Consider the following 13069-nt stretch of genomic DNA (forward strand, 5'->3'; position numbering starts at 1 on the left):
TGGCAGGTGCCCATAGTCCCAGCTACTCAGGAGGTGAGGCAGGAGAATGGCATGAACCTGGGAGGCAGAGATTGCAGTGAGCCAAGATTGCGCCACTGCACTCTAGCCTGGGTGACAGAGTAAGACTCCATCTCAAAAAAAAAAAAAGAAAGAAAGAAAAGAAAAGTGCAAAGCATGTTTTCCTTCCTGCATGAATTAAAATCTTGATGTCTCAGGAATTAAGGAAGGAGATTATAAATAAATACTCAACTATGACTGCCAGGAGCAGCCTTCAAACCAAGTCGTCTCCTCAGAAACATTTTACAATGTACAGGTGTTAAAAGTAACAGTATGAAATTAAGGAAACCAGTACAGAAAAAGGCAGCAAGATCTGTTTTTTCTTTTCTTTTCTAGGTATCTGTAGATATTTGTTTTTCTTCTTCTGGCCAGAATTTTTTATTTATAGCATGAATCTTAGTAAAAACCCTGGCTCTTTCAATATATTGCATTCTTTCACAGCAATTTTTGTTACTATAGTTACTTTTTGTTTAGAGTGTGATATGGTTTGCCTCTGTGTCCCCACACAAATCTCATCTAGAATTGTAATCCCATGTGTCAATGAAGGGAGGTCATTGGATCATGGAGATGGTTTCCCCATGCTGTTCTTGTGGTAGTGAGTGAGTTCTCACGAGATCTGATGGTTTTATAAGGGGTTCTTCCCACTTTGCTCTTTGCTCGCTCTTGCCTGCTGCCATGTAAGATGTGCCTGCTTTGCCTTCCACCATGATTGTTAAGTTTCCTGAGGCCTTTCCAGCCATGTGGAACTGTGAGTCAATTAAACCTTTTTTCTTTATAAATTATCCAGTCTCTGGTATTTCTTTAAAGTGGTGTGAAAATGGACTAATACAGAGTGCATTGTTGAGAAGGCAAATACCAAAAGTATTTAAACTATGCCCCTACCCTGAAATAGTATTGTTTCCTTTTTCATTTTCCTTTTTTTATCTTTAACGCCTTTGGTGCTTTTTATTTTAAATATACTGTGAATATAATCTATGTCTTTCTTCTTTTAACATTCATGCTTGTGTTTCACATCCTTGATACATGCAGTCACTTGTGTAGTCATTGATCTTGCTGACAAAGCCCTCACTATATATGTGTTTCCTGTTTTTGCTTTTAATTGTATAAAACTGTGCACTCTCAGTTTGTAATTTAAAAAATAACACTTGCAGAATGTAAGAATATATTATAAACTACTCTTATTTTAATCTATTAACTTTTTTCTTCTAAAAATGGTTCCAATTCTGTTGGTAAATTTGCTGTGGGATACATAGCTGATTATTTTGAAATAATTCTTCTCAATTGTAAAGTAATTGGGTGAGTAGCTGTGAAAAATTTTCTAGTACCAACTAATTTTCTGCCGTTAATGCTGACTACTACCTCTTTAAAAATCATTTCCTGGTTCCTCTTCTCAGTGTAGTCACACCGTCTGGTAGGAAAATCTATTTGTGTTGATTATAGAAGGAAAAAGTTAAAACAAATATTTGCCAGTTTTCTGTTAACATTTTCTCACATTTTCCAAGAATGCACCTGTTGTCAGCTTTTATATTTACTTCTGCTTGGTTTCTATTTTGGTTGTTTTTCTCTGGGTCCACAGCTCTAGTTTTAGAATCCACCATAATTGTTTTATTTTTCATCTGAAACTTAATCTCACCTTTCCTACCTGATTGAAAACCCTGGAGTCCAGTCATGTGGACCTACTCCCTGCTGCTTCATAAATTGACCCCAGCCTGCCACCGTGGAGACCGTCTTAATGTTCAGCATGAGTTTGGAAATCAGCATCATAGACAGGTGGTGGAGGTGCAGATGAGATGATACTTTGTTGAAGCCGACTAAAGTTTTACTACCCCAGGAAAAAATAACACAACCTCTTAACTAGGGAATTAGGCTGGAATCTGAGGACACTGAGGGAGATCATGACAATATGAAAAATTCTTTTAGAGAAAGAAGGATTAACAGACTCTCTTCTCTTTTAATCAAAGTTTGCATTGGCACCAAGACAGACTTTATCAAAATGGTGAAGCTATTGATTCAGGCACAGCTGAAAATCAGAAAGAGTGGCAAAAAGGCACATTGGATGTTTGGTAGAAAACACCTTTTATTTCTAACTTCCACTGGAAAATTGTATAAATGTAAGCTGTAGTAGATGTTTGGAGTGGTAAAACCAGAAGCTAAGTTTCGATGTCTTTAGTTTTATAGAAGTTTTTTTGAATGATGGTAATATTTGATATACTCTTATGCACTCAAATCAATATGTTTGTATTTTCTTTTGCTCTCCTCTCCCCACTCACCCCAGCATATATGCACATGCACACACACACATATGCACAATTTTTAATATTAATATAGAATTAACATTCTTTATTGGTGAGTATAAGATGGCTAGAAAATCAGGGCTCCAGGTTTCCTTCCAGCTTCTTCCAAACCCTGCATTTGACCACAAATTTTAGTACCACTCTTGGACCCAGGAAAGCTTCCCTCCTGTCCAGGTCTTGTGTCTGAGGACCACCCATCCCCAGTGCATTGCAGTATCTTCCTTGAAGAAATACCCTCTCCAGTGACTGGGACTGGCCAGGGCATCCAAGCAAGGCGCTTGGTCACGTGTGGGTCCCGGTTGCTGAAAGTGTCTTCCTAGAAATTTCCTAAGGCTGCATTCAGTGCCTGCTCTGTACACCTTTCCCTCCTGCCCCAAACAGATAGTTCCTGTTGGCCAGTATGGTATTTCTTTTGCGGTATTGGGTAAGATTGAGCTGTAAGGAACAGTAGTTAGTTTGGGGTGAGTCACATTGGAAGTGAGGAGTGCAGGGATTTGGATTCCAACAGTCCACTGCCTACTTTTGCATTCTGAGCCAAGTTTGGGCCCATCTGTTGACTCTCAACTGACCACAGGCCCTTCTCATCTATAGCTCCAAGGCACTGGGGGGGGGGTGTCGGTAGGTATCCTTTACCCTATGCCCCTACTCCCCCATGGCAGGGACCTAGGGCGGTCACCTTCTGCCCTCTGCAGACTCCATACCATATCAGGCAGTTTTCTGGGGATGGCCTTACCTATCTTTTCTGCACCTTCTCAAGGCTTTCAACATCATTGTCCATAAGCTAACAGTCCCCTCCAACTGATGTCCTCTCTCACCTCCAATTGATGTAGTGATAGCATGCTCTTCCTGGAAGTCTTAAGGCATTCCAAATGAAAGATGGACATTCCTTGAGTAAATGGTACTGGTCTTCTATACTTCCTTGCTGGTGTTGGTGGGTAAAAGGCAGGGTTTACTCCACACTGAAGGAAATCACATCCTAGGAATGCACCCAGCCTGGATGGCCTACAGAGTTGAAAAGAAGACACAGTTGGAAGTTGTATTGCTCTACATCTATGCTAAAAAATTCCAAACAATACATTAACATGACCAAAAAAAAAAAGAATTTTAATTCAGATTTTCCTGCAGGTAAGAATTGCATTTAGTGGTCATTATTGTGGAGCACGACAACAACCTTGGTGAGAACTACTGACACCCATAATCGTAAGTGACATGGTGGGCAGAGCAGTGTCAGGAGTGATGATATACCCAGCGTTAAATACATGCTATTAGGGAACTGCAGAAGCAGGAAGGATGATATTGCTTCAACCCAACAGCTTCCAAAGAGCCATGGCATTGTGAGTAATAACAGCTTTGCTACTTCTTTCTTGTGATTGCAGCTATAAAATGAGCCAGGAATGACACATTTAACAACAAAGAACATAGTGATAAAATGATAGCTATAGACCTGTACAAGAAGAAATGATGGCCGGACACTACAAAGAATCTTTATATTCATGAATAGAACAATAAACATCATTCTAAATCTTCATTAATAAATCACTATACCTCATATGAGCTCAAGAACTTTGCAATACATTTTTTAAAAATAAAATTGTGTATATAAACAGGGGCCCTACCTCTATATGCTGAGTCTAAACATGCCAATATAAAGATGAGAGACCTGTTCCAGCCCCTGTGGTTTTCATATTCTCTCTGAATTCATTATTCCTCTCAAAACAGTGTTTATTATCTACCCCTAGTCAATAGACAAATACATAAAAATCAAAAGAGAAATAAAGCATAGGCTTCTTTCATAATTGGAAGAGAGCTGTGAGCAAGATGAATGATCTATGGAGACCTCCACTGCAGATTACAGGAGAAGGCTTGCAATTACTCAGAGAAAGAAATTACATGTTTATAATAATTGAGTAGAAAGAAGCATCTCAGGGCTATGCTCACTCATATTCCATGTGGATAATTTGATAGGATTCTTTAAAGTAGTCTTGGTTATGAACTTTCTCTCTTGTATAAAAATGTTTCTAAGTCTTCCTACCAAAATAAAAAAAGAACATTCACACTTTTACAATCCTTGGTATTAACTTTTTCTGCGGCAGCGATGATCAGGGCACTGGAGTTGTGATTTGTGAATCCTGGATCTGCTTTAGGGATAAATTTTAATAGAAACTTCAGGCTTTAGTTTTAAATAATATTTAATTAAATAAATCATTAAATGCAGGTCATGGTTAATACTGAGTGTCAACTTGATTGTATTGAAGGATGCAGAGTATTGTTCCTGGGTGTATCTGTGAGGGTGTTGCCAAAGGACATTAACATATGAGTCAGTTGACTGGGAGAGGCAGACTTACCCTTAATCTGGGAGGGTGCCATGTAATCAGTTGCCAGCATAGCTAGAATTAAGCAGGCAGAATAACGTGGAAGGACTAGATTGGCTAAGTCTTCTGGTCTTCAATCTTTCTCCTGTGCTGGATGCTTCCTGCCATCGAACATCAGACTCTTTAGCTTTTAGACTCTTGGATTTACACCAGTGATTTGCCAGGGGCTCTTGGGCCTTCAGCCACAGACTGAAGGCTGCACTGTCAACTTCTCTACTTTTGAGGGTTTGGGACTCGGACTCGCTTCCTTGCTCCTCAGCTTGCAAACAGCCTATTGTGGGACTTAACCTTGTGATTGTGTGAGTCAATTCTCATTAATAAACTCCCTTTCACATATACAGCTATCCAATTAGTCCTATCCCTCTAGAGAACCCTGACTAATACAATGCATTTAATATAATTTAATAAAATTTGACTAAAATGAAAATGGCAATGTAAGACACAGACTCAAGGAGACCAATAATTTGTTTATTCTTCTTTAGGGTATTCAGACACAGAACAAAATTAAGAAATTTAACAGTTAATTTGTGATTTCCGTAGCCACTTTGCAAATGAATGTTAAAACAAATGCATTTTTTTTTCACTTAGAAAGAATTGGATTTAGTGGGATTCCGTCCCTAAAACTACTAACTTTTTTATCTTGAAATGTGAAAAGTTATTTATTCCCTTGAATGTGCCATAGCTTCCCACCTCTGTGCTATAATTATCTCTGTGAGTGGCTCCTGTCTTAATAAGCTTAACCTCCTGATGCTCACTTCTGTGATTTCCCTTCTCTGCCAAAACTTTGTGTCATCAAACTGATCTTTCTCTCCTTATTCAGTGTATTTCTATCTATTGAGTCTATAATGGTTAATTTCATGTGTCATCTTGACTGGGCCAGGGGGTACCCTAGACATTGGGCTGAACATCATTCTGGGTGTTTCTGTGCAAGTGTTTCTGGATGAGTAAAGCACATTGCCCTCCCTAATGTGGGGGTCGGGGGACGCAATCCAACCAGCTGAGGTCTGAATAGAACAAAAAGGCTGAGAAGTGGGAACTCTTCCTGCATGATGGCCTTCAAGCTGGGGCATTATTTTTATTCCTTCCCTTGAAACTCAAACTAAAACATCACTTTGGCCTAAGTCTCAAGCCTACAGGCCTACGGACTGAAATTATATCATCAGCTCTCCTGGGTCTCTAGCTTGCAACTCAACCTGAAAGTCTTGGGACTTAGCTTCCATAATGTCATGAGCTAATCCTTTATAATAAATCTCTTTTGATTTATCTAATACAGGGTCATTTTCTATATTTAAAAAAATAAAGAAAAGAAAAATGAGTGCGTCTTGTTTCTTCTTACAAAAAGAAAACAAAACAAAAAACCAGAAACAAATTTATAATTTTATTGGACCCCAGTGCCGCCTCTGGTCATCATCTTCATTTTCTGATGTCGTTCTCTATCTTAGGTATCAGTGGTCTGTGGCCACATCCCATTTCCTAAATGCTGGATTTTGGATCCTTTACAAATGTGGCTTCCCCACTCCACAGAAATTGTAGTTCTGAGGAAATCAGTGACCTCTTGATTGCAAAGACCTGTGTTCCCTTTTCAGTTCTTATTCTTTTGGCCTCTTTTGTGTTAACATTGCTAGTAAAATATTTCTTTAAAATTATAAAAGGCCAGGTGTGGTGACTTGTGGGAAGAGGAAGGCAGAAGGGTCAGAAACAGAGATGGCATCATGATAATGACCTTATGGCCACTGTTTACTCTTTGCTTTGAAGATGAGAGAAAGAACACGAACCAAGAAATGCAGGCAGACACTAGAAGCTCGAAGTGGCAAGAGAACAGATTTTCTGCACGAACCCCCAGAAAGAAACTCAGAGATGCCTACACCAGCCAGGCATGATGGCTCATGCCTGTAATCTCAGCACTTTGGGAGGCTGAGGCAGGAGGATTGCTGGAGGCCAAGAGTTGGAGACCAGCCTGGATAGCATAGCGAGACCCTGTCTATATAAAACAATTATCCAGGTATGGTGGCGTGCAACTATAGTCTCAGCTACTCAGGAGGCTGAAGCTGGAGGATGGGTTGAGCCCAGGGTTCAAGGTTACAGTGAGCTGTGCTCATACCACTGCACTACAGTGCAGACAGAGTGAGAAACTATCTCTTAAAAAAAAATTACAAAAGTTTCACTTAAGGACATTTGAAAAGTGCAGAAAAGGTAAAACCTCACCTGTAATTACAACACCCAGAGACATTCATTGTTAGTATTTTGGTTCATATTCTTGTGATATCTTTCCCATAATATACACAGTTTTAAATCAAAATTGGGATCACTCTACATATTCTTTGATCATCTGGTTTTTTATGTTTGATGTATTATGGATATTTTCTAGGACATCCTTCACAGGATGTTTAGCAATATCCCTGGCTACTACCTATGACATGTCAGTGGCACCCCTGCTCCCAGTTTGACAACCAAATACATCTCTAGATATCTCTGGCCAGTAAATACTATTCTTCTGCATCAGCTTTTTTCATGCCAGCAAATGTGATCAAACTGATACATTAAAATCTATTTTTATATCTTTCCCATTGTTAGGCATTTAGGATATTTCCATTTTTAAAGGTATATTATCAATGTGGCTGAAACTTATGTAAGAGTAATATCAACCAATGGGTTTGTAGACGAAAAGAGTCAAACTCCGTAAAATAGTTGAAGATATTTATTCTGAGCCAAATATGAGTGACCATGGCCCATGACACAGCCCTCGGGAGGTCCTGAGAACACGTGCCCAACGTCTTCAGGGTGCAGCTTGGTTTTATATATCTTAGGAAGGCATGAGACATCAATCAAATACCTTTAAGAAATACATTGGTTTGGTCCAGAAAGGCTGGAGAATTCGAAGTGAAGATGGGCGGGAGGGCGGGTGGAGGGGCAGGGACTCCGGGTTATAGGTGAATTTAAACATTTTCTGGTTGACAATTTGTTGAGTTTGTCTAAAGACTTGGGATTGATACAAGGGAGTGTTCAGGTTAATATAAAAATTGTGGAGACCAAAGTTCTTTTGAAGTCTTATAGTGGCTGCCATTAGACACAATAGATGACAAATGTTTCCTATTCAGATCTTAGTTAATCTCTTTAGGATTCAGAGGGTCTGGAAGAAAAAGATCTAGCTATGTTGATAGAGATTCTTTACAGATGTAAATTTTCCCCCACAAAGATCAGCTTTGCAGGGCCATTTCAAAATATGGCAAATAAACATGTTTGGGGGTAAAATATTTTGATTTTCTTCCTTGTCTGAAAATGTTATGCCAGAGTCAGGGAAAGTAAGTCATGATATATAGGGTTGAATAAAACCCATCTGATGAGAATTTATGATTTGTAGGACATGACTTCCCAGACCCCTTAGATAGGAATTTGGGAAAGATAAAAAATTCAGAGTTTAATCCTAGGTTTCTTACAGATTCTCTTGGGAGAAGAGCTGGCAAGGTCCGAATTAGACATTTTAAGCACCTGGCCTTCTCTATCATTCTGTCCTGAGGTGTGTCTAGCCCAAAGAGCATGAAAAACCTACTTCTCAAAGCCAAATTAATCCAGAGTTAAGATGTATTGGGGGTTAAATGACCAGAAGAGTGGGCTTGGCATTGGGAAAAATACCTTTTTCTATCTTTGGTTAAGTATTCTATTCAGGAACATTCTATCCTGGAATAAGGTGGGAGCTTTTACAAGTCCTGTGAATGCTATTAGATAGAATTTTAGCATAGAAATAGATAGCTCTGGCCCACGCCTGTAATCCCAGTACTTTGGGAGGCCGAGGCGGACGGATCACGAGGTCAGGAGATCGAGACCATCCTGGCTAACACGGTGAAACCCCGTCTCTACTAAAAATACAAAAAAAATTAGCCGGGTGCGGTGGTGGGTGCCTGTAGTCCCAGCTACTTGGGAGGCTGAGGCAGGAGAATGGTGTGAACCCAGGAGGCAGAGTTTGCTGTGAGCCAAGATTGCGCTACCGCACTCCAGCCTGGGCGACAGAGCAAGACTCCGTCTCAAAAAAAAAAAAAAAAAAAAAAAAAAAAATAGCTCTGAAGGAGTTAATTTGCCTCTCTGGGTTTCCGTTTTCTAGAATCTAATGTGAGCATGTGAGTTGAGACATTCTCTAAGATTCCTTCCAATCCTGAAATTTTGTGACCCTGTGCACAGAAATAAATAAGTTCTCCTTCTGTCTCGTCTCATCTGCTTGGACTATCCTGGCAGCTGCCCATATCTAATTATCATGTTTCAAAGAAACACACAGTGATGGGCCATGACATACCTGGTGGAAACTGGGTTTTCACAAGAGGAAAGGATAAACTGATAAGCAGCAAAACTTTCTGGGAATTAGAGGAGCCAAAGTAGTTTTATCAGATATAAAATAAGAAGGAAATGAGTAGTTTGGGTTACTATAGTAAAGGCCAGTGGAAGGGTCCAAGACTAGAATCAGTAAGTATGAAACTATAGAAAGGCATTCTTTAAACCATAGTTTTTCAGCCTTGGCACTATCGACATTCTGGGCCTGATAGTCTTTCACTGTAAGGAGCTCTCCTGTGCTTCATAGGATGTCTAGCAACATCCCTGGCCACCATCCATGAGATTATCAGTAGCATCTTCACTCCCAGTTTGACAACCAAAAACATCTCCAGGTATTTTTGGGGAGCAATTTCAGCCATCCCCTCCTTGTGAGGACATTGATTTAAAACTCTCATACTTTGCAAAGAGAGGCATTCCTAGAGACCTTAATTTTGTAATGTACCACTAAGTTAAAGTAAAAGTATACAAAAAGGTTTAATTTCTTTGTAAGTAAATTGTTAGTTTGTAAAAGCAAACAGAATGGATTAATTCCAACAAATTTAAATTATCTTTTAACAATGTATGATATGTAATCTTAAAAAGAGGTGTTAATATTTAACCTTTTAAAGTAATTTAAATAAAGTATCTCTGTTTCAATAAGGATTAGGAAAGGTACATAGAAACCATCCTAGGTGTTTCAAGTAGAAAGAGATTTGGGGTAAGAATTAGGTGCTTATGAGACTGTTGGAAGTGTGAAGGAGTAAAAGTAAGAGGGACTACTATAATTTTTTTTTTTTTTTTTGAAACAGTGTCTCGTTCTATCGGCCAGGCTGGAGTGTAGTGGCACAATCTCAGTTCACTGTAATCTCCACCTCCCAGGCTCCTGCCTCAGCCTCCCAAGTAGCTGGGACTACAGACACCTGCCATCAGGCCTGGCTGATTTTTGTGTTTTCAGTAGAGATGGGGTTTCGCCATTGTTGGCCTGGCTGGTCTCGAACTCCTGAGCTCAAGTGATCCCCCCACCTCAGCCTCCCAAAGTGCTGGGATTACAGGCATGAATCCCCATGCCTGGCCCTAGCTGAAGGCTTTTTAAAATTGTTTTAATCATGTAGGTGAAGGCCATAGACAATAGTGATTACAATTTTTTTATTTCAAAATTAAATTAATTATCTGAAAATTAGCATGATCATTGTTCTGACATAATCAAAGCCTTCTTTTTCTTTTCTTTTCTTTTTTTTGTTTTTTTGTTTTTTTGTTTTTTTTTTTGAGACAGAGTCTTGCTCTGTCATACACGCTGGAGTGCAGTGGCTCAATCTCAGCTCGCTCCAACCTCTGCCTCCTGGGTTCAAGTGATTCTCCTGCCTCAGCCTCCCAAGTAGCTGGGACTATAGGTGGGCATGGCTAATTTTTGTATTTTTAGTAGAGACAGGGTTTCATCATGTTGGCCAGGCTGGTCTTGAACTCTGGACCTCAGGCAATCCACCCACCTCGGCCTCCCAAAGTACTGGGATTACAGGTGTGAGCCACCACATCCAACCTATTTTCTTTGTGCTAGTAAGTTAACATAAGGAGCAGTTTCCTAGCATACCCTAAAAATAATGCCACCAAGAATATTTTTTGCCAGAGCCTATTAGTTACCATCATTTATGAAAGAATAAACTGCAGGCTATCAGACTATTACCCATAATGCTAGTGGATGCAGTTGCATCTTTGCTGGCTTTGAAGAAACTATGAAGGGGCTGAGGAAAATAATCATATGCAAAGTTGAAATATACAAGTAGAGAGTACATGCAAAGAAATGGTCCAATTTGAATATTTTATACCATAGAGATTTTTTTAGTTAGCTCAAGTGATGGGATAAAATTCACAAATTATTCTCAGAACAAAGACTTATTCAAATTTAAATATATATATATACTCATAATATTTTTTAATGGGAAAAGACTTGTTTCTCCAAAGAAGATACAACAACTCTTGAAAGTTTGGAGGGTCCTTGATTAGCGTAACTCTTATCTGTCTGAATACTTGCTGATATTTGAGACAGATACATTAAAGAGACAGCAGTAGTTTTTAAGAGCAACAGTGCACAAAACTGCTGCCATCAAAGCAAATTTTTATCTTGCTGGGTACCTCTAGGTACTCAGAATATTCTACTGACTGTGCTTAGGGAAATTTTTCCTAAGATGAGAAATGGTTAAACTAAATTCCCTATCCATTTTACAGCAAATATATATCAGTTTGAAACAAGCAGAATTCCTGAATTGTATGTTTAGTTTTTGTTTGTTTGTTTGTTTGTTTGAGACAGAGTCTTGCTCTGTTGCCAGGCTGGAGTGCGGTGGCGTGATGTCGACTCACTGCAACCTCCAACTCCCTGGTTCAAGTGATTTTCCTGCCTCAGCCTCCTGAGTAGCTGAGATTACAAGCACACGCCACCACGCCCAGCTAATTTTTGTATTTTTAGTAGAGACAGGGTTTCACCGTGTGGGCCAGGATGGTCTTGATCCCCTGACCTCATGATGCACAAGGATTATAGGCACGAGCCACCGCACCCGGCCGTTTAGCTTTTTTTTTTTAATTAAGTGTTTTATCTTACTATAATTCTAGATTCACATGCAAACATAAACACCCATGTACTTTTTATCCATTTTCCCCTAGTAGTAACATATTTCAAAACTACAGTATAATATAACAAGCAGGATACTGACATTGACACAGTCAAGAAACAGCATTTCCATCTCTACAAGGATTTTTAATATTGTTCTTTTATAAACACACTCACTGCTCTCTGCATCTCCTCTTCCCTCCAAACTTTCCCCAGCAACCAATAATCTATTTTCCATTTGTACAGTTTTTTAATTTTAAAAATGTAATACAAGTGGAATCATACAATACGACGCAGCCTTTTAGGATTAGCTTTGTTTATACTCAGCATATTTCACTGGTTGTGTGTATCAGGACTTGATTCCTTCTCATTGCTGAGTAGTATTTCATAATATGGTGATACCACAGTTTGTTTAAACGTTCACCCATTGAAGGAAATCTAGGTTGTCTCCAGATTTTTTTTTTTTTTTTTTGAGACAGGGTCTTGGTCTGTCACCCAGGCTGGAGTGCAGTGGTGTGATCTCGGCTCACTGCAACCTCCACTTCCCGGGTTCAAGCAATTCTCCCACCTCAGCCTCCTGAGTAGCTGGGATTACAGGCACCCGCCACCATGCCCAGCTAATTTTTGGACTTTTAGTAGAGATGGGGTTTCACCATGTTGGCCAGGCTGGTCTCAAACTCCTGACCTCAGATGATCCACCTGCCTTGGCCTCCCTAAGTGTTGGGATTACAGGTGTGAGCCACTGTGCCCGGCCTCCAGGTTTTGACTATTATTAATAAAGCTACTATAAGCAACTGTGTATAGGTTTTTACATGAACATAAGTTTTAATTTTTTTGAGGGGGGGTAAATATCCAGGAGTGTCATGGCTGAGTCATATGATAGCTGCATATTTAGTGCTTTTAAAAACTGCCAGGTTATTTTCCACAGTGGCTGTACCATTTTACATTCTTATCAGAAAGGTGTTAGCAATCCAGTTTCTTCTCATTCTCACCAACACTTGGTGTTGTTACTATTCTTTTTTTTTTTTAACTTTAGACATTCTAATAGGTGTGCAGTGATATCTCATTGTGGCTTCAATTTGCATTTCCATACTGGCTGATGTTGTTCATCATCTTTTCATGGATTTATTTGTCATCTGTATGTCCCCTTCAGTGAAACATCTCTTCATGTCTTTTGTCTATTTTCTAAACTGATTTTTTTTTCACCATTAAGTTAGGAGGGTTCTTTACAAAGTGAAGATACTAGTCTTTCATTAGATATATGGATTGAAAATATCTTTCCTAGTCTGTAGTTTGTATTTTTATCCTCTTCTCAAGGTTTTACACAAAGCAAAAGTTCTAAATTTTGATGAAGTCCAATTCATCAATTTTTCTTTTTATGAATCATGTGTTTGGTGTTCAGCCTAAGTACTTTGGCCTAGCTCTAGAGCCAGAATACTTTC

This window comes from Homo sapiens, chromosome 1 (assembly GCF_000001405.40).
Source record: "Homo sapiens chromosome 1, GRCh38.p14 Primary Assembly".
Taxonomy (NCBI): domain Eukaryota; kingdom Metazoa; phylum Chordata; class Mammalia; order Primates; family Hominidae; genus Homo; species Homo sapiens.